Below are 21,440 nucleotides of genomic sequence, written 5' to 3' on the forward strand. Positions count from 1 at the left end.
AGGAGGACAAAGCATGAGATTCACTTGAGGCCAGGAGTTCAAGATCAGCTTGGGCAGCATGGCAAGGCCCTATCTCTACTAAAAATACAAAAATTAGCTGGATGTGGTGGTGCATGCCTGTGGTCCCAGCTACTCAGGAGGCTGAGGTGGGAGGATTGCTTGAGCCCAGGAGTTTGAGGCTGCAGTGAGCCATGATTGCATCACTGCATTGGGAACATAATGGTGAACAAGCTAGATGAAGTTCTGGGGTGTGCATTGACATTATTATTTTATTACATTTTATTTTTTTGAGACAGTCTCACTCTGTTGCCCAGGCTGGAGTGCAGTGGTGTGATCTCGGTTCACTGCAATCTCTGCCTCCCAGGTTCAAGTGATTCTCCTGCCTCAGCATCCCAGGTAGCTGGGACCACAGGTGTCCACCATGCCAAGCTAATTTTTTTTGTATTTTTTTTTTTTGAGACGGAGTCTCGCTCTGTCACCCAGTCTAGGGTGCAGTGGCGTGATCTCGGCTCACTGCAAGCTCCACCTCCCGAGTTCAGGCCATTCTCCTGCCTCAGCCTCCCGAGTAGCTGGGATTATTACAGGCGCCCACCACCACGCCTGGCTAAGTTTTGTATTTTTAGTAGAGACAGAGTTTCACTATGTTGGCCAGGCTGGTCTCGAACTCCTGACCTCAGGTGATCCACCCGCCTCGGCCTCCCAAAGTGCTGGAATTACATGTGTGAGCCACCTCGCCCGGCCCAAAGGGCAGATCTAATGTAGCAGCTACCAACTTTATTAAGGCCCAGAATCCTCTTGGGTGGAGAATCTGAGAGTCTAAATTTCTTAGCCTGGCCCTCCATGCCCTTCTCACTTTGGGTCTCACCTGTGTTTTCTCTACCTGGCCTGGACTATTGCAATGTTTCCCAGCAGGCTTTCCTGCCTCGGCCTCATCAAGCATCCTCTGCCAAATCTGTGCAGTCATCTTGTAAAATGTGACCCTGATCAGGCTTGAAAGATGCCTCAAGGATGACTTTTTTTTTTTTTTGAGACAGGGTCTCACTCTGTCACCCAGGCTGGAGAGCAGTGATACAATCATGGCTCACTGCAGCGACCCTCCTTCCTCAGCCTCCCAGGTAGCTGGCACTAGAGGCACATGCTGCCACATCCGGCTAATTTTTTTTTTTTTGTATTTTTTGTGGAGACAGGGTCTGTCTATGTTGCCCAGGCTGGTCTTGAACACCTGGCCTCAAGTGATCTACCCACCTTAGCCTCCCAAAGTGCTGGGATTACAGGCATGAACCACCATGCCCAGCCATCCAAGAATAACTTTCAAAAAATAAACAATATCAAGTGTTGGTGAGGGTATGGAGCAACTGGAATGCTCATACATTGCTGGTGTTGATGCAAAATGGTATAGACACTCTGGAAAATAGGTTGGCTGGGTTTTTTTTAAATAGAATTAAACTTAACCTTACCACAAGATTCAGGGCCTGGTATGGTGGCTCATGCCTGTAATCCCAGCACTTTGGGAGGCCAAGGCAAGAGGACCACTTTAGCCCAGGAGTTGGAGACCAGCCTAGGCAACATGGTGAAGCCCCATCTCTACAAAAATACAAAAATTAGCCAGGTTTGGTGGTATCCAGCTACTTGGGAGGTTTGCTTGAGGTAGGGAGGTCGAGGATGAAGTGAGCTATGATCACTCCACTGTACTGCACTCCAGCCTGGGAGACAGAGTGAGATCCTGTCTCAAAAAAAAAAAAAAAAAAAGACTCCTGGGTGTTTACCCAAGGGAAATAAAAACCTATGTTCAACTGAGAGTGACCCCTAATGTAAACTATCCACTAACCACTGTGGGTGATAATGATGTATCAGTGTCAGTTCATCAATTGTAACAGACTAGCTACTGTCATGCACTTGCATGTGGAGGATGTTGATTGTAGGGGAAGCTATACAAGTATGAAAGCAGCAGGTGTACGGGAAATCTCTGTACCTTCTGATCAATTTTGCTGTGAAACTAAGACTGCTCTAAAAAAATAAAGTATAGTGTAAAAAAAAAATTTAAACTAGGTTCACACAAAAACCTGTCATGCCCACAGAATGGGACAAATGCTCAGTGCTCAAGTCATTTATATAAAATGGCATAATATTTGCATATAGCCTGTGCACATCTTCCATACACTTTATTTATTTATTTATTTATTTTTATTTTACTTTTTCGAGTTGGAGTCTGGCTCTGTCACCCAGGCTGGAGTGCAGTGGCGTAATCTCAGCCCACTGCAACCTCTGCCTCCTAGGTTCAAGCAATTCTCCTGCCTCAGCCTCCCTAGTAGCTGGGATTACAGGTGCACACCACTGTGTCCAGCTAATTTTTATATTTTTAGTAGAGACGGGGTTTTGCCATGTTGGCCAGGCTGGTCACAAACTCCTGACCTCAAGTGATCCGGCCCACCTTGGCCTCTCAAAATGCTGGGATTACATGGGCCACCATGCCCGGCCCTCCATAGACTTTAAATTATCTCTAAATTATGTATAATATCTAATGAAATATAAATGCTACATAAATAATTGTTACACATTTTTATTTGTATTCTTTTTATTGTTGTATTATTTTTATTTTATTGGTTCCAGGTATTTTCACTCCGTGGTTTATTGAATCCATGGATAAGGAAACTGGATATGAAGGGCTAACTGTATTTGTGAATCATATATCTCATAAGGAACTACTATTCAGAATATATAAAGAACTCTCAGGGCCGGGCGCACGCCTGTAATCCCAGCACTTTGGGAGAATGAGGTGGGTGGATCACCTGAGGTCAGGAGTTAGAGACCAGCCTGGCCAACATAGTGAAACCCTGTCTCTACTAAAAATACAAAAAATTAGCCAGGTGTGGTGGTGGGCGCCTGTAATCCCAGCTACTCGGGAGGCTGAGACAGGAAAATCGCTTGAACCTGGGAGGGGGAGGTTGCAGTGAGCTGAGATCGTGCCACTGCACTCCAGCCTGGGCAACAAGAGCGAGACTCTATCTCGAAAAAAACCAAAAAACAAAACCCACGATAAAAACTAAGAACTCTTACATCTCAAAACTAGAAAGACAACCCAAATAAAAACATTATGCTGATCAAGGTAACTTTTGCAAAAAAGAGAAAAGAAGAAAACAAAAACATTATGTTGAGTGAAAGAAGCTAGAGATGAACAGTCCCATATAGTGTGATTCTATTTACATGAAATGTGCACACCACCACACCTGGCTAATTTTTTAAATTTTTGTAGAGATGGGATCTCACCATGTCGTTCAGACTCGTCTCTACCTTCTGAGCTCAACTGATCCTCCCACCTCACCCTCCTAAGTAGCTGGGACCACAGGCAGGTGCCACCGCACTCGCTAATTTTTTGTATTTTTTTTTTATTCCACTTGGGTAAATATCGAGGGGTAGGATTAATGGCTCATATTCAGTATATAAGAAACTTGCCAAACTTCTTCCTAAAGAGGCTGCACTAGTTTGCTTTCTCACCATCAGTGTTTGTAGGTTCTAGTTATTTCACATCTTCTCCAGCAGTTACTATTTTCAGTTTTTTATTTACTTTTATATTTTAATTAATTAATTAATTAATTTATTTATTTATTTATTTATTTATTTCTTGAGACAGAGTCTCGCTCTGTCGCCCAGGCTGGAGTGCAGTGGCGCAATCTCTGCTCACTGCAAGCTCCGCCTCCCAGGTTCCCACCATTCTCCTGCCTCAGCCTCCCGAGTAGCTAGGACTACAGGCGCCCACCACCACACCCGGCTAATTTTTTATATTTTTAGCAGAGATGGGGTTTCACCGTGTTAGCCAGGATGGTCTCGATCTCCTGACCTCGTGATCTGCATTTTTTGTATTTTTTGTAGAGATGAGGTCTCAATATGTTGCTCAAGCTGTTCTCAAACTTTTGGGCTCAAGTGATCCTCTTGCCTCAGCCTCCCAAAGTGTTTGGATTGCACACCAGGCCAGGTGTGAGTCAGCCTGGCATAGAAAATTTACACCCAGCCTGACATAGAAAAATTAATTTTGGCCAGGCGAGGTGGCTCACACCTGTAATCCCAGCATTTTGGGAGGCCAAGGTGGGTGGATCACCTGAGGTCAGGAGTTCGAGACCAACCTGGCCAACACGGAGAAACCCTGTCTCTACTAAAAATATATAAACGAGCCAGGCGTAGTGGCACATGCCTGTAATCCTAGCTACTCTGGAGGCTGAAGCAGGAGAATCACTTGAACCCAGGAGGCGGAGGTTATGGTGAGCTGAGATCGCGCCACGGCACTCCAGCCTGGGTGACAGAGTGAGACTCCGTCTCAAAAAAACCAAACCAAACCAAAACAACAACAACAACAACAAAAGACAACAAGTGTTGTCAGGGGTGTGGAGAAATTGGAACACTTACATAGTTGGTGGGAATGCAAAATGGTGTAGCTGCTATGGAAAACAGTATGAAGGTTCAAAAAAAATTAAAACTATCAGCCGGGCACAGCAGCTCACACCTGTATTCCTAGCACTTTGGGAAGCCAAGGCGGGTGGATCACTTGATCTCAGGAGTTCAAGACCAGCCTGGGAAACATGATGAAACTTTGTCTTTACAAAAAATACAAAATCTAGACAGATGTGGTGGCATGCTCTATGGTACCAGCTATTGGGAGGCTGAGGTGGGAGTATTGCTTGAGCCCAGGAGGTTGAGGCTGCAGTGAGTCATGATTGTGCCACTGTACTCCAACCTGGGCAACAGACCCTGTCTCTAAAAACAGAAGAGGAAGAAGAAGAAGGCAAATCACACATTGTGTTCTTACCACAATGTCTTAGGGGGTTTTTTGTTTGTTTTTTGAGATGAAGTTTCGCTCTTGTCGCCCAGGCTGGAGTGCAATAGCGTGATCTCAGCTCATTGCAACCTCCACCTACCGGGTTCAAGTGATTCTCCCGCCTCAGCCTCCTGAGTAGCTGAGATTACAGGCGCCCGCCACCACACTCGGCTAATTTTTATATTTTTAGTAGAGACGGGGTTTCACCATGTTGATCAGGCTGGTCTTGAACTCCTGACCTCAGGTGATCCACCCGCCTCGGCTTCCCAAAGTGCTGGGATTACAGGTGTGAGCCACCTCGCCCAGACTTTACCATTATTTTTTTGTTCCGCTTCCCAAAGTGTTGGGATTACAGGCATGAGCCACCACACCCAGCCTTTATCACAATTTTTTGTTAATGTAGTTTAAATATGCAGCTACCGTAATTACACTTTTGGGCAATTTCAAAGGAATGGAAACTTATGTTCACATAAAAATCTGTAACAGATGTTTTATCTTAATAACCCCAAACTGGAAACAACCCACATGTGAATGTTTAAGCAAATGGATACGTCCATACCATAGAAAATTACTGGAGAATAGAAAAGGTAAATATTACGACTTGGATGAACTTCTAGGGCATTATGCTGAGTGGAAAACAAACCAATCCTAGCAGGTTACATATTGTATGATTCCATTTATATCACATTCTTTTTTTTTTTTTGAGACGGAGTCTCGCTCTGTCGCCCAGGCTGGAGTGCAGTGGCGTGATCTCCGCTCACTGCAAGCTCCGCCTTCCAGGTTCACGCCATTCTCTTTCCTCAGCCTCCCGAGTAGCTGGGACTACAGGTGCCCGCCACCACGCCCGGCTAATTTTTTTGTATTTTTCTTAGTAGAGACGGGGTTTCAGCGTGTTAGCCAAGATGGTCTCGATCTCCTAACCTCGTGTTCCACCCACCTCGGCCTCCCAAAGTTCTGGGATTACAGGCGTGAGCCACCGTGCCTGGCTATATCACATTCTTAAAATGAATGACAACATCAGAGAAATAGAGAACAGATCCCTGTTTGCCAGCTGTGCAGGAATGGAGGTGAGGGGATAAGTGTGTATGGCTACAAAAGAGCAACAAGAGGAATTTTTTTTTTTAAAGACAGGGTCTCACTCTGTCGCCTAGGCTCGAGTGCAGTGGTGCCATCATAGCTCACTGCAGCCCCAAACTCCCTGGCTGAAGCAATCCTCCTGCCTCAGCCTCTTGAGTAGCTAGGACTACAAGCACCTGCCACCAAACCCAGCTAACTTTTGTATTTTGGGAGGAGACAGGGTTTCACCATGTTGCCCAGGCTGGTGTTGAACTCCTTGGCTCAAGGGATCTGCCCGCTTCAGACTCCCAAAGTGCTGGGATTACAGACGTGAACCACCATGCCTCGCCTCTGTTTATTTCTTAAAACTGCATGTGAGCCTTCAATTATTTCAAATTAAAAGTTTAATTAAAAAAATTACTTCCCCTCCATTTAAACACATTTTGTTTCACATTTTAATACCTCCAAAATCAAGATGCATCTCGAAAGTACTGTTGGAGCATTCTCATTGCCTATACATGCACACCCATTAAAAGCATCCGCTTCAAAACTCACAGAATGGAGGCAGAGGCTAGGAAGAAAATCCCCTAGGATGTGAGGAATGGGGGTGTGGAATCCCATGCGCTTAGCTACATTCCTGAAGTGGGAGCTCACTCAGCAAGCCTGACATTATTGCAAAGCTGGCTAGAAAGTCAAGCCCCACCCTCACTTAATTCCTTTACAGATTCTTTCTTTTCCCTTTTTTTTTTTTTGGAGATGGAGTCTTGCAGTCTTGCTCTGTCACTCAGGCTAGAGTACAGTAGTGTGACCTCGGCTCACTGCAACTTCCGCCTCCCAAGTTCAGGTGATTCTCCTGCCTCAGCCTCCCGAGTAGCTGGGATTACAGGCGCCTGCCACCACGCCTGGCTAATTTTTGTATTTTCAGTAGACACAGAGTTTCGCCATGTTGGCCAAGCTGTTCTTGAACTCCTGACCTCAGGGGAACCACCCGCCTCAGCATCCCAAGGTGCTGGGATTACAGGCATGAGCCACCATGCCCAGCCTCTTTCTTTTCCTAATAAACTTTTAGTTTTGAAATAATTTTAAATTTACATTAAAATTGCAAGGATGGGCTGGGCGCAGTGGCTCACACCTGTAATCCCTGAACTTTGGGAGGCAAAGGCAGGCAGATCACTTGAGGTCAGGAGTTCGAGACCAGCCTGGCCAACATGGAGAAACCCCATTTCTACTAAAAATACAAAAAATTAGCCATACGTGGTGGTATGTGCCTGTAGTCCCAGCTACTCGGGAGGCTGAGGCAGGAGAATCGCTTGAACCTGGGAGGCAGAGGTTGTAGTAAGCGAGATCGCGCTGCTGCACTCCGGCCTGGATGACAGAGCAAGACTCTGTCTCAAAAAAAAAAAAAAAAAATAGCCGGATGTGGTGGCACATGTGTGTAATCCCACCTACTGCAGGGGCTGAGGCAGGAGAATTGCCTGAACCTGGGAGGTCGAGGTTGCAGTGAGCCAAGATCGTGCCACTGCACTCCAGCCTGGGTGACAGAGTGAGACTCCATTTCAATAAACAAATTAACTAATTTAATTTAAGTGCAAGGATGATACAGACAGCTCCCATAACCCTTTTGACCTGCTTCCTCTAATGGTTTTTTTTTTTTGTTATTTATTTATTTATTTATTTTTGAGATGTAGTCTCACCGTGTCACCCACGCTGGAGTGAAATAGCAAATGGCAAAATCTCGGCTCACTGCAACCTCTGCCTCCTGGGTTCAAGCGATTCTCCTGCCTCAGCCTACCCAGTAGCTGGGGCTACAGGTGTGCGTCACTACGCCTGGCTAATTTTTGTATTTTCAGTAGAGGCGCAGTTTCATCATGTTGGCCAGGCTAGTCTCAAACTCCTGACTTCAAATGATCCACCCGCCTCGGCTCCCAAAGTGCTGGGATTACAGGTGTGAGCCACTGAGCCCGGCTCTAATGTTAACATCTTACACAACCACAGCATATTTAGCACTACTAAGAATTTAACATTGGCACGTTACTATTTCTTTTTCTTTTTTTGTAGTTTTTTTTTAATTTGTATTCAAGACTCAACATAATCATTTTCTTTTCCTTTTTTTTTTTTTTTTTTTTTTTGAGATAGGGTCTTGCTCTAGTGCCCAAGCTAGAGTGCATCAATCAAGATCCTAAATCACTGCACCCTCGAACACCTACACCCAGGCTCAAGTGATCCTCCTGCCTTAGCCTCCCGAGGAGCTGAGACCGCAGGTGTGCCCCGCCACATCCGGCTAATTTTTTTCTTTTCTTTTTTTTTTTTTTTTTTTTTTTTGAGACGGAGTCTTGCTCTGTCGCCAGGGCGGAGTGCAGTGGCACGATCTCCGCTCACTGCAACCTCCGCCTCCCGGGTTCAAGTGATTCTCCGCCTCAAGCCTCCTGAGCAGCTGGGATTACAGGCTCGCGCCACCACGCCCGGCTAATTTTTTTTATTTTTAGTAGAGACGGGGTTTCACCATGTTGGCCAAGATGGTCTCCATCTCCTGACCTCGTGAGCCGCCCGCCTCGGCCTCCCAAAGTGCTGGGATTACAGGTGTGAGCCACCGCGCCCGGCAAAAAGATCGCCTTGCTTTTGACACAAAAGTGCTGGCAGCCCCCATCCCCTGGTACCAGAAGCCCCTCTGCACAGTCTTTTCCAGGTGTGGACGGATAATTAGGCAGTGACTTGCTGCCCCCTGCAGGTAAGACTGAGAAAGGCAGCCCCTGTGCCCTCCTTTTTCTTGTGTCCGGTAGATTTGGGGACGTTTGCTTCTCTCTTCTCCACCTCCTTTGCCTTCTCCCCACTACCCCACCCCCCGCCAGCAATTAAAAAAAAAAAGCCACCCTGGCACAATTTGGACAAAATCTATGAGAAATAAAACGTGCAAACGTGCATAACCTTGGACCTAGTAATTCCATTGGTTGCAAAAGTCAGCCAAGATTTGTGGGCACGGATTGTGTTCATTCATTTATCTAGGGCAGTATTAGGGCTGTTTCTAATTTGTTGGCTATTACAAATAAATCTGCAGTGAACATTCATTTACACAATTTTATATGGGTCTATACTTTCATTTCACTTGGGTTAAAACGTAGGAATCTAATTCTTTTGTCATAGTATAAGTGAATGCTTAATCTTTTAAAGAACTGTCAGACTGATTTCTAAACTGTTTATGCCATTTTACATTCACAACAGCAGCACGTTTGAGTTCCAGTTTCAACACATCTTCACAGATACTTGGTAGGCACAGCCTTTTTAAATTTTTCCCATAATAGTTTTTTTTTTTACTAGGTTTTTGATACAGAGGGAAATAGAGAAGAAACCAAAAATTCCGATAGTCCTCTGCTGACATTAAAAAGATATATTCAAGGGCCGGGCACGGTGGCTCACGCCTGTAATCCCAGCACTTTGGGAGGCTGAGGCAGGCGGATCACCTGAGTTCAGGAGTTCGAAACCAGCCTGGACAACATGGCAAAACCCTATCTCTACTAAAAATACAAAAATTAGCGGGGCATGGTGGTGGGCGCCTGTAATCCCAGCTACTCAGGAGGCTGAAGCAGGAGAATCTCTTGAACCTGGGAGGTGGAAGTTGCAGTGAGCCAAAATCGTGCCACTGCATTCCAGCCTGGGCAACAGAGCGAGACTCTGTCTCAAAAAAAAAAAAAAAGATATATGCATGTACACATCGTATGTAAGAAAACCGCACAGTACTGAAAGGATGAAAAGAAAGAAAGAAAGGGCCAGGGGTGGTGGCTCACGCCTGTAATTCTAATGCTTCAGGAGGACTGCTTGAGGACAGGAGTTTGAGACCAACCTGGACAACACAGCAATACCCTATCTCTATTGATTTTTTTTTTTTTTTTTTTTTTTTGAGACGGAGTCTTTGTCTGTTGACCAGGCTGGAGTGCAGTGGTGCGATTTTGGCTCACTGCAACCTCCGACTCCCGGGTTCAAGCGCTTCTCCTGCCTCAGCCTACCAAGTAGCTGAGACTACAAGCGCAGGCTACTATGCCCAGCTAATTTTTGCTTTTTGTGTTTTGTTTTGTTTTGTTTTAGTAGATACAGGGTTTCGCCATGTTGGCCACGCTGGTTTCCAACACCTGACCTCACGTGAACCGCCTACCTTGGTCTCCCAAAGTGCTGATTTAAATATATATGTACTTTTTTTTTGAGATGGAGTCTCTCTCTGTCGCCCAGGCTGGAGTGCAGTGGTGTGATTTCAGCTCACTGCAACCTCCGCCTCCCGGGTTCAAGCGATTCTCCTGCCTCAGCCTCCCGAGTAGCTGAGACTACAGGCGCCCGCCACCACGCCCAGGTAATTTTTTGTATTTTTAGTAGAGACGGGGTTTCACCGTGTTAGCCAGAATGGTCTCCATCTCCTGACCTCGTGATCCGCCCACCTCGTTTTCCCAAAGTGCTGGGATTACAGGCGTGAGCCACCGCGCCCGGCATAAAATAGATTTTTAATTGTTTTAACATACCACCAACCTTGTCACATGATATTGTCATTTACCTAAAGCTGAAAAATTAATGAATACTGATTAGGTTTACAAAATTAGGTTCAGCTATCCAGTGAACGCTCAAAATATGGCAATAAAAGAGAACGGGGGTGGTGGGGCGTGGCTCAGGCCTGTGATCCCTGCGCTTTGGAAGGCCGAAGCAGGAGGATCACTTGAACCCACGAGTTCGAGACCAGCCTGGACAACACAGCGAGACCCCATCTCGACAAAAAAATTTAAATGAAAATATTAGCCGCGCTCAGTGGCGCCCGTCTGCAGTCTGCTACTGGGGAGGCTGAGGCGGGAGGATCTCTTGAGCCCAAGGGTTCAAGGCTGCAGTGAGCCACGATCGCGCCACTCCACTCCAGCCTAGGTGACAGACCAAGATCGTGTCTCTAAAAAAGAAAAAAAAATCAAGGAGAGAGAACAGGTCACCCAAAAGTGCGCAAAACGCTCAAAAAGGGGTTGGGTTTCCAGCACCCTGTGTGAAGAATGGGAGACCGGAAGTGGGCGCCAAATTCGGAAGTGTGGCAGCAGATAGGAATCGAAGGGCACTCATTCGCTTGGCTCTCTGTCCCGCCCACTACCCGGAAGTGTGGCCCGGGTCCAGAACCAAGAGCGCATGCTCACCTTGTAGCTCAGCCAATCAAAGAGAAGCGAGGCGGCCATTCGGGCGGAAATAGTGTTTGCAAACAGGAAGTGTGGCACTCCAGCTACCGAAGCACTGGAGAGTGTCATGGAGGCCTACGAGCAGGTCCAAAAGGGACCCCTGAAGCTGAAAGGCGTCGCAGAGCTGGGAGTGACCAAGCGGTGAGGCCCGAGGGCCCGCGGGATTCCGTCTTCATCCCCCTTAGACCTTTTCTCGGGACCCCTGGCCCTGATCCTCCGACCCGCCGCCTCCTCATGTCTTTTTCCAGGAAGAAGAAAAAGAAGGACAAAGACAAAGCGAAACTCCTGGAAGCAATGGGAACGAGCAAAAAGAACGAGGAGGAGAAGCGGCGCGGCCTGGACAAGCGGACCCCGGCCCAGGCGGCCTTCGAGAAAATGCAGGAGAAGCGGGTGAGCAGAAGCAGAAGGCGGCGGGGAGGCGGGAACACCCGGCGCCGGGAGACTGGAAATTGGGGTCAGGGCTGGGACGCTCCGAGGGCAGGGGAGCGGTCAGAGGAGACCTTAATTACGGGGAGAGGATGCTGTACGTGAGTGAGAGAAGAGTCGCCCTCTGCCGGGGGAGCTCCAAGGATGAGAAGACCCCGCTGGCCCGAGTGGGCAGCAGAGGGGAGAGCTAGAACTGGCGTTGAAAGGAGGCCAGAGCTGGAGACCCGGGTTTGGATTCCAGTGCTGTGGCTTATTTGCCCTGCGACACTAGGCCAGTGACTTTCTTATTTCCGTGCCTCAAGTTTCCTCTTCTGTACGAGTCAGGGTAGTAACTTATTCTAAGAGGGTTGGGAACTTGAGAGGAAGTCATGAAAGTAAAAAGCAGTGCATACATGTTCAGTGGATGCCAGCTCTTGATATTAAATGGCCATGCTCGCCGCTCGAAGTCACCACAAAGTTTGTTTCCAAGACAACTTTGTTTGGCAGATTCAAACATGCTGTATTTTTTAAAAAATTAGTTATTTTTGGCGGGGTCAGAGCACTGCAGCCTCTGCCTCCGGGGTTCAAGCAATTCTCCTGCCTCAGCCTCCCGAGTAGCTGGGATTGCAGGCGCCCGCCACCACACCTGGCTAATTTTGGTATTTTTCGTAGAGATGCGGTTTCACCATGTTGGCCAGGCTGATCTCGAACTTCTGATCTCAAGTGATCCGCCCGCCTCAGCTTCCCAAAGTGCTGGGATTACAGGCGTGAGCCACCGCACCCAGTCTCAGCTGTTGATATTGAATGGCCATGCCCATGACGACTTTGTTTGTATTGTATTATAAGGCTCCGATAAATTATTTTTTCTTAACACCATAAATGTGTGCAGTGGAGAACAGAAGAGTTCACAGTAAGACAGAAACTGGGTCCATTATGCTGGGGAGAGGGAATAATCAGTGTAGGTCAGTGATTCTCACCTGGGGGTAGTCTCCACCCCCCTAAACTCCCACCCCGAAGCACATGTGGCAATGTCTGGAAACATTTTTGGTTCTCAACTGGGTTGGGGTGGGGACTACTGGCAACTAGTGGCTAGAGGCCAGGGATGACACCACACACCCTGCGATACACAGGACAGCCTGCCGCAGCAAAGAGTGATCCGGCTCCAAATGTCAGTAGCACTGAGGCTGAGAAACCCTAACCCTGGTCTAGGTGATTCTGTACGGTGACACTGGGGAAAATGGACCTTGGGGACAATTAACTCCTTACTCCCAGATCTAATTCAGGCATACAGAAAACACATGGATGCACTACCTCTGGCATGACAGACCTGAGTTTGACTCTGCCTCTACCACAAATTAGTGGTGTGACCCTGGGCAAGCCGGCTACCTATTACTTAAAGTAGCACTAAAGTCTGCCTCACAGGGTTGTGGTAAGGATTTAACAAGTCAGGCGGGCGGATCACGAAGTCAGGAGTTCAAGACCAGCCTGGCCAACATGGTGAAACCCTGTCTCTACTAAAAATACAAAAATTAGCCGGGCATGGTGGCACACACCTGTAATCCCAGCTACTTGGGAGGCTGAGGCAGGAGGATTGCTTGAACCAGTACCCGGGAGGCAGAGGTTGCAGCGAGCCGAGATCACGTCACTGCACTCCAGGCTGGCAACAGAGTGAGACTCCGTCTCAGTGAGACTCAGTCTGGCTCTGTCACCGAGGCTGGAATGCAGTGGCTCGATCTCGGCTCACTGCAACCTCCGCCTCCGGGGTTCAAGCGATTCTCCTGCCTCAGCCTCCTGAGTAGCTGGGATTACAGGCGCCTGCCACGACGCCCATCTAATTTTTTTGTATTTTTAGTAGAGATGGAGTTCCACCACGTTAGCCAGGCTGTTCTTGAACCCCTGACCTCAGGTGATCCGCCTGCTTCAGCCTCCCAAATTGCTGGGATTACAGGCGTGAGCCACCACGCCCGGCCTTTTTTTAATTTTTTGAAAAAGCCTCGCTCTGTTGTCCAGGCTGGAGTGCATTGGTATGATCTCAGCTCACTGCAACCTCTGCCTCCTGGGTTCAAGCGATTCTCCTGCCTTAGCCTCCTGAGTAGCTGGGACTACAGGCGCCCACCACCATGCCCAGCTAATTTTTGTATTTTTAGTAGAGACGGGGTTTCACCATGTTGGCCAGGCTGGTCTCGCTCTCCTGACCTCAAGTGATTCACCCGCCTCAGCCTCCCAAAGTGCTGGGATTACAGGCGTGAACCACCATGCCTGGCCAAGTAAATGCATTTCTTTCCCTTCTAACCCTGAGGTTGTAGTCAGAGGCAGGGCTGAGATTTTATTGCTGGAAGCCAGAATGAGACTTATGCGAGACTTAGGCAGCTATTAAGAGACTAATAATGGGAGCTCAGAGTAGAGCAGTCGTGATGGAGCCAGTGGAAGGTAACAGGTTTGGAATAGGTTTTCAAGGATGAATTCAGGGTTAGCTGTTGGGTTGGATGTAAGCTGGGAAAGAAAGAAGAGTCAAGGATGACCAAGACTTTGGGCTGGGCAGTTTGATGAATGAAGGTGCTGTTTACTGGGGTGGGAAGGATTGCAGGTAAAGCAGGTTTTCTGGAGTGGGAGTTGAGGGAGGGGGAACCAAAGCTATAGTTTTAAAGAAGGTAAATGCAGTGCCCCAGTAGAAATCCAAGTGGAGTCAGCCAGGCACAGTGGCTCATGCCTGTAATCCCAACATTTTGGGAGGCCGATGTGGGAAGATCAGTTGAGCCCAGGAGTTCAGGACTAGCCTGGGCAACATAGCGATACCCTGTCTCTTCAAAAACTAAAATAGTAGCTGGGTGTCACGCCTGTGGGCAGAGCCCAGCCAGGTGCCTGGCATTGTGTGGCAGCTGGACAAGTCAGTGTGGCTTCTCACAGGGAGACACAGGCTTTGGCTGGGCTCACAGCAGCAGGAAGAGGGACAGAGATGGGCAGGGCACTCGCCTTAGAGGGAGAATCAGCCAGGTGAGGGCTGACTGGACACAGGAGGTGAGGGAATGAAGGAGAAGGGGGGGACAGAGAGGAGCAGCCAGGTGGCCCCTACCAATAATATCTCATGATGCTCTGGGTTGACTGGGCTTAGCAGGGTCTGACCTCACTTGGAGTCTGGTGTGGTCAGATGGCAGCTGGGCCTGGAGTCTCTGAAGGTGCAGCTGGGCTGCAGCATCTAAGATGGCTTTGTCGCCATATAGCTGGTGCCTCAGTGCTTCTTTTTTTTTTTTTTTTTTTTTTTGAGACAGTCTCGTTCTGTTGCCCAGGCTGGAGTGCAATGGCAAGATCTCAGCTCACTGTAACCTCCACCTCCCGGGTTCAAGCTATTCTCCTGCCTCAGCCTCCCAAGTAGCCGGGACTACAGGCGCATGCCACCACACCTGGCTAATTTTTGTATTTTTAGTAGAGACGGGGTTTCACCATGTTGGCCAGGCTGGTCTCAAACTCCTGGCCTCAAGTGATCCTCCCACCTTGGCCTCCCAAAGTGCTGAGATTACAGACATGAGCCGCCATGCCCCACCTCTCAGTGCTTCTTTCGTGGCCTCTTCCTTCATGTCATCTCATCTTCCAGGTCCTTTCTTTCCAGCAGGGCCATCAGACTTCCTGCACAGCAACTGGCTTCCAAGGGCACAAAGCTAATGCTGCCAGGTCTTATGCATGGACCCAGAACTGGTACTGTGTTCCTTCGAGTTAACTGAGTCCACGGCCAGGTCAGAGTCAGTGTGGCATGGGGACTGCACAAGGGATGAATCATAGGCAGCACAGTTATAGGGGCCACCAAAGAGTGGGCCACAGTCACCCAGCCAGGAAGTGTGGAGCCAGGTGTGGCCTCAGATCTGTCTGGCTTTATATCCCACACTCCAACTCTTTTTTTTTTTTTTTTTTTTTTTTTTGACAGGGTCTCTCTCTCTGTCACCCAGGCTGGAGTGCATTGGTGTGATCATAGCTCACTGCAGCCTCAACCTCCTGGGTCAAGCAGTCCTCTCACCCCAGCCTCTTGAGTAGCTGGGACCACAGGTGTGCACCACCAAAATCAGCTGATTTTCTTGTAGAGTTGGGGTCTCCTTATGTTGCCCAGGCTAGTCTTGAACTCCTGGGCTCAAGCTATCCTCCTGCCTTAGCCTCCCAAAGTGCTGGGATTACAGGCATGAGCCACCGCGCCCAGCCCACACTCCCAGCTGCTACCAGATACTGACCTTTCCAGGTGTCATTGAGTGTTTGAAGTGAGGATCAGAGCAGGTCATGGTGCAGGAGGCATATTTCAGAATAACCCTGGGGATGGTGATCCTGGTCTTGTAGCCCTAACATCAGGATGGGAAGTGTCACTTGAGCACCTGCTCTATGTCAGACCCTTTACCTCTCTCTTTCTCATCATTCCTGAAACCCGCTCTGGGACTTTGTTTTCCTCCAAACTGGGAGTGCTAACAGCCTCCTCAGGATGCAGGAAGCATGCCGACAGCTCCCAGCAGAGTCTGCTCATGGGTACGCGCTCAGGCATTGCTGGTTCATTTCCTGCCACTCACGAAGCTGGCAAGTGACCTGGGTTCCCTGTTGGACCAGCCTGGGTGGAGTTGAGGGAGGGGGACAAGGCACAGAGCCTGAAACCTCCAGCTGTTCTAAATGTGAGAGCCAGTCTGGCCAGGCTCCATCTTCCACCCCATGCCAGCCTGGGCTGTGTTGAGCCTGTAAACTCACCTCCATGTCTCTTCTCTCTCCAGCAAATGGAAAGGATCCTAAAGAAGGCATCCAAAACCCACAAGCAGAGAGTGGAGGTGAGTCGCCGTGTCCAGTGGGGGAGACTGAGCCATTCAGGGTCCCAGCTGGGCCCAGAGGCTATCAGCTGGCAGAGGGAGCTGTTGGCATGTTGACGAGAAGGGAAGTTTACCTAATAGAAGTGACACTTCCCCAGGGTTATTCAAAGGGGAGCCCAGGGTTCAGGAGTCTGTAAGACCTGGCAGGGTGAGTTTGAGAGGAGGGGGCTCAGGAGAGATAGGATGTGGGAGAGGTGGGGCTGGGCAGTGCCACTTCTCCCCAGTACCCCACTTGGGTCTGCGCTGACACCGGCCTTCTACTCCACCTCCCCAGGACTTCAACAGACACCTGGACACACTCACGGAGCATTACGACATTCCCAAAGTCAGCTGGACGAAGTAGCCGCCTGCCCCCAGTATGGAGCAGCATCGAGGGTTCGCAAAAGGCCACACTGGGGTTGTGTGTGTTTCCTTTGGTATATTCTGGAAACATGGCTACACACACCCTTGCATCTTCTGCTACAGACTGCTTTTCGAAGCTGTGTACCCTCATTCTGGAACTTGATTAAAGTAAGATCGTCCTTGTACTCAGTTTAGGCTTCTTGGCAACATACAGAAGATACACCCTTTTCGTTTGGATGGAAAGTTTCTAAGTTTATCCAGAGGTAAAGCCCATTGTGTGTCTGTGTCATGTAAAAATGTTTTCACCCGAGTTGCATGTAACGCTCTGAGGCCAGCCAGCTGTCTTCTCCTGGATGAGACAGACTCCAGAGGGTAAGGAGCTAGCGCCATGGTGGCCTGCAGTATGCAGAGCCCCGCAGGACCCAGCGTGGGCGCCCTTCCAAGCTTCCTCTAGCTTTGGGCCTATGCTGTCCCCTGCAGGCCCTAGGGAAGCCACTTGCAACTATGCGGCCTTCAGACTTCCTCCTCAGCCACCTGGCCACTGAGACAGCATAGCCTGGGTAACGGAACAGCCACCTAAGGCAAGAATGGAACGGACACACCTTGCTCCTTTCTGAGCCCGTTTCCCAAAACCCCCCTTCCAGGTGCTTCTAATGGGTGTTGCCATAGCAGACGCTGCTAATGCATCACAGCATTCTTTGAAATGGAACCAGACACAGCCTGCCTCTCAATCCTCAGCTGGGGGCTCCTAGCAGCCTCTTGTATTTACTCAGAGTTGACACATCACACAGATCCTGTTTGGCATTCCTACCTTACGGACGTCTCAGGGGTGACAGGACCAGGGCAGAGCCCCGGTACAAACAGACAAGGCTGCAGTCAAATGGGAGGGTCCAGGTGTCCGTGTTGGAGGGCTGGGATCTTGTAGGGCCTGTGCGTCCTGGCTGAGGATCAAACCACATATGTTATTGGGAGAAACGATTTCTGTTGACGTAGATATTGAAAGAATAATGAAGGCAGAAGAGAAAAACGAAGTGTGGAATTTGGGGTTGTCCTGTGTAAATTACACAATAAAGCAAAAGTCAGTTATTGTAAGTCTGAGTGTCTTCTTTTTTTTTTTCCCAGACAGAGTTTCACTCTCTTGCCCAGGCTGGAGTGCAGTGGCATAATCTTGGCTCACTGCAACCTCCACTTCCCAGGTTCAAGTGATTCTCCTGCCTCAGCCTCCCAAGTAGCTGGGACTACAGGCAACCGCGACTACGCCTGGCTAATTTTTGTATTTTTAGTTAGAAACGGGATTTTTCCATATTGGCCAGGCTGATCTCGAACTCCTGACCTCAAGTGATCTGCCGCCTCAGCCTCCCAAAGTGCTGAGTGTCCTCTTATAGGCTGTTTGTCACCAAAATGTCTTTTGGATTTGTGGCACAGAAAAATATTCATACTGGAAAACGGCAACTCAGGTGGAAAAATTTCGATGGCACATCTGTTCCCGCCTATGGTTCACACCTAAGAGAGATGACACACACTCTCATTAGCAGTGGCTTTTGCCAGTGATTCTCCCATGGCCTGGTGGAAAGACAGTTTCAGACCTTTTCCTTCCACAAGCTAGCAGCAGGAGTCTGCATTATGTACTACTGTGGAAACCCTTTATTAGTATAGTGGAAAGGTAGTTATTTCAGCTCTTTCCCTGCATAACAAACGGCTCCAAAAGGCAGTGGCTTAAAACAACAAAAATGTATTTTTATTTTATTTTATTTTATTTTATTTTATTTTTTTGAGATGGAGTCTTGCTCTGTTGCCCAGGCTGCAGTGCAATGACGCGATCTCGGCTCCCTGCAACCTCCACCTCCCGGGTTCAAGCAATTCTCCTGCCTCAGCCTCCCAAGTAGCTGGGATTATAGGTGCGTGCCACCACGCCCAGCTAATTTTTGTATTTTTAGTAGCAACAGGGTTTCACCGTTTTGGCCGGGATGGTTTCGATCTCTTGACCTCTTGATCCACCTGCCTCAGCCTCCCAAAGTGCTAGGATTATAGGTGTGAGCCACCACACCCGGCCAAAACTTTATTTATTATCACAACTCTGGCTTGACTGTGCTAGGCTGGAGGATTCTGTTCCATGGAGTGTGGTTCAGTTCACTCATTTAGTTGTGTTGGCTTTCCCGGGGCCAGAAAGTCCAGGGTGGCATCTCACCCTCCAGGATCTCCCTCCACAAAGCCTATTTCTTTATTATTGTTGTTATTATTATTATTATATTTATTTATTTATTTTGAGACAGAGTCTCGCTGTGTCGCTCAGGCTGGAGTGCAGTGGTGCGATCTCAGCTCACTGCAACCTCCGCCTCCCTGGTTCAAGTGACTCTCCTGCCTCAGCCTCCTGAGTAGCTGGAATTGCAGGCACCCACCACCACGCCCGGCTAATTTTTGTATGTTAGTAAAGACAGGGTTTTACCATGTTGGCCAGGCTGCTCTCGAACTCCTGACCTCAAGTGAGTCGCCTGCCTCAGCCTCCCAAAGTGCTGGGATTACAGACATCAGCCACCACGCCCGGCCTACATAGCCTATTTCAGCGGCCAAAACAAGCCACCTAGCCAAACCCGGAGTCTGGCAGGGAACTCCACAAGGGCATGAACACTAGGAGGTGTGGTTTACTGGGATCCAATACCCTTACAGTCCACCACCGCTGTCCTCAAATTTACATTAGAATCACCTGGGGAGCATTAAAAACCGCCAAGTTCTGGTGCCAGGCACAGTGCGACGTATGCAAATGTAATCCCAGCTGCTCAGGAGGCTGAGGCTGGAGGGTTGCCTGAGCCCAGGAGTTCAAAGCGAGCCTGGAGAACAGAGATTCTTATTGTGTGTAGGGAGTGTTGTGGCAGGCCAGGTCTCACTAATGCAGGCCTCCGGCCTTCATAATGACTGTTTAAGTACTGACTAAGTGGTTAATTTTTTTTTTTTTTTTGGAGATGGCATTTCGCTCATTGCCCAGGCTGGAGTGCATTGGTGCGATCTCGGCTCACTGCAACTCTGCCTCCCGGGTTCAAGCAATTCTCCTGCCTCTCAGCCTCTGGAGTAGCTGGGATTCCAGGCATGCACCACCGTGCCCGGCTAATTTTTGTATTTCTAGTAGAGACAGGGTTTCGGTATGTTGGCCAGGCTGGTCTCAAACTCTCCTGACCTCAGGTGATCCACCTGCCTCGGCCTCCCAAAGTGCTGCGATTACAGGCGTGAACCACCATGCCCAGCCAAGAGAGGCTTTTGATACTAATTGCCCAGTGATTAAGCTCTAGAAGGAATCCGATGAGATGTCAGGACTATTATTATTACCATTATTATTATTTTGAGATGGGGTCTCATTCTCTTGCCCAGGCTGGAGTGCAGTGGTGTGATCACGGCTCACTGCAGCTTTGACCTCCCAGGCTGAAGTGATCCTCCCACCTCGACCTCCTGAGTAGCTGGGATCACAAGTGTACATCACCATACCCAGCTGATTTATTTATCTCTTTGTAGAGATAGGGTCTCCCTATGTTGCCCAGGTCTCAAACTACTGGCCTCAACCTCAAGTGATCCTCCTGCCTCGGCCTCCCAAAGTGTTGGGATTGTGGGTGTCAGCCACCAAGCCCGGCCACAGCTGTGACTTCCCACTGCTCAGGAAGAACATCAGGGTCTGTTCACCAAGAGTTAACAGAAATAGACGCGATATGTAACAAACCCTGTTGGACCTAGTCTCATATTTTGCCCCATTTATTGTAATGTTTTAGAGATCTTACTCTGTTGCCCAGGCTGGAGTACAGTGATGCCACTATAGCTCACTGCAGCCTTGTCAACCTCCCAGGTTCAAGTGATTCTTCTGTTTCAGCCTCCCAAGTAGCTGGGACTACAAGTGTGTGCCACCACACTCAGCTAATTTTTGTATTTTTTGTAGAGATGGGGTTTCATCATGTTCCCCAGGCTAGTCTGAAACTCCTGGGCTCAAGTGATCCTCCTGTCTCTGTCTCCCAAAGTGCTGGGATTACAGGCATGAGCCATAGAACCAAGCAACTTTTTTTTTTTTTTTATTTGAGACTCAGTCTCAAAAAGATAAAATAAAAAAAGAAAGAAAGATCATACCTATTATGATACACCAGGGTTTCTCAAATTTTGTTTCCTATTAGCATCATCTGGGGAGCTTGGAAAAAAATCCCAATAACCAGGCTGGGCGCAGTGGCTCATGCCTTTAATCCCAGCACTTTGGGAGGCCAAGGCGAGCAGATCACTTGAGCCGAGGTGTTTGAGACCAGCCTGGGCAACATGGGGAAACCCCATCTGTACAAAAATCGCAAAATTAAGCCTGGCCAACATAGTGAAACCCCATCTTTACTAAAAATACAAAAACTGATCTGGGCCTGGTGGCACACATCTGTAGTCCCAGCTACTCAGGAGGCTAAGGTTGGAGGATCGCTTGAACCCAGGAGGCAGAAGTTGCAATGAGCTGCTGAGATTGCACCACTGCACTCCGGCCTGGGTGACAGAGCGAGACCCTGTTTCAAAAAAAAAAACAAAAAACCAGAATTAGCTGGCCTTGATGGTGTGCATCTGTAGTCCCAGCTGAGCCAAGGAGGTGAAGGTTGCAGTGAGCCGAGATTGCACCAGTGCACTCCAGCCTGGTGACAGGATAAGACCGTGCCTCAAAAAAAAAAAAAAAGAAAGGAAAAGAAGGCCAGGCGCGGTGACTCACACCTGTAATCCCAGCACTTTGGGAGGTGGGGCGGGCGGATCACAAGGTCAAGAGATCAAGACCATCCTAGCCAACATGGTGAAACCCCGTCT

At 48.7% G+C, this 21,440-nt stretch overlaps 1 protein-coding gene across 1 annotated transcript, besides 4 other annotated features; it reads left to right on the top strand.

Moving 5' to 3' along the window:
- Positions 4,581-4,650: an enhancer, noted in NCBI's record as "active region_14216". NCBI's record gives its function as "activates an Ori minimal core promoter by ATAC-STARR-seq in GM12878 lymphoblastoid cells {active_cell/tissue: GM12878}" and the evidence as "EXISTENCE:reporter gene assay evidence [ECO:0000049][PMID:35858748]".
- Positions 8,377-8,876: an enhancer, noted in NCBI's record as "H3K4me1 hESC enhancer chr19:16293505-16294004 (GRCh37/hg19 assembly coordinates)". NCBI's record gives its function as "activates a minimal SCP1, AML or CMV promoter by ChIP-STARR-seq in naive H9 embryonic stem cells {active_cell/tissue: H9 hESC(naive)}" and the evidence as "EXISTENCE:reporter gene assay evidence [ECO:0000049][PMID:30033119]".
- Positions 10,100-10,735: an enhancer, noted in NCBI's record as "H3K4me1 hESC enhancer chr19:16295228-16295863 (GRCh37/hg19 assembly coordinates)". NCBI's record gives its function as "activates a minimal SCP1, AML or CMV promoter by ChIP-STARR-seq in primed H9 embryonic stem cells {active_cell/tissue: H9 hESC(primed)}" and the evidence as "EXISTENCE:reporter gene assay evidence [ECO:0000049][PMID:30033119]".
- Positions 10,638-10,687: an enhancer, noted in NCBI's record as "active region_14217". NCBI's record gives its function as "activates an Ori minimal core promoter by ATAC-STARR-seq in GM12878 lymphoblastoid cells {active_cell/tissue: GM12878}" and the evidence as "EXISTENCE:reporter gene assay evidence [ECO:0000049][PMID:35858748]".
- On the top strand, positions 11,093-17,729 carry FAM32A (family with sequence similarity 32 member A). Its single transcript, NM_014077.4, has 4 exons — positions 11,093-11,199; positions 11,307-11,448; positions 16,203-16,256; positions 16,570-17,729. The coding sequence occupies exons 1-4, from the start codon at positions 11,126-11,128 to the stop codon at positions 16,636-16,638; spliced, it is 339 nt and encodes a 112-aa protein (NP_054796.1). The 5' UTR covers positions 11,093-11,125; the 3' UTR covers positions 16,639-17,729.
- Positions 17,730-21,440: the final 3,711 nt, after the last annotated feature.

Source organism: Homo sapiens, chromosome 19, assembly GCF_000001405.40.
Source record: "Homo sapiens chromosome 19, GRCh38.p14 Primary Assembly".
Lineage (NCBI taxonomy): Eukaryota > Metazoa > Chordata > Mammalia > Primates > Hominidae > Homo > Homo sapiens.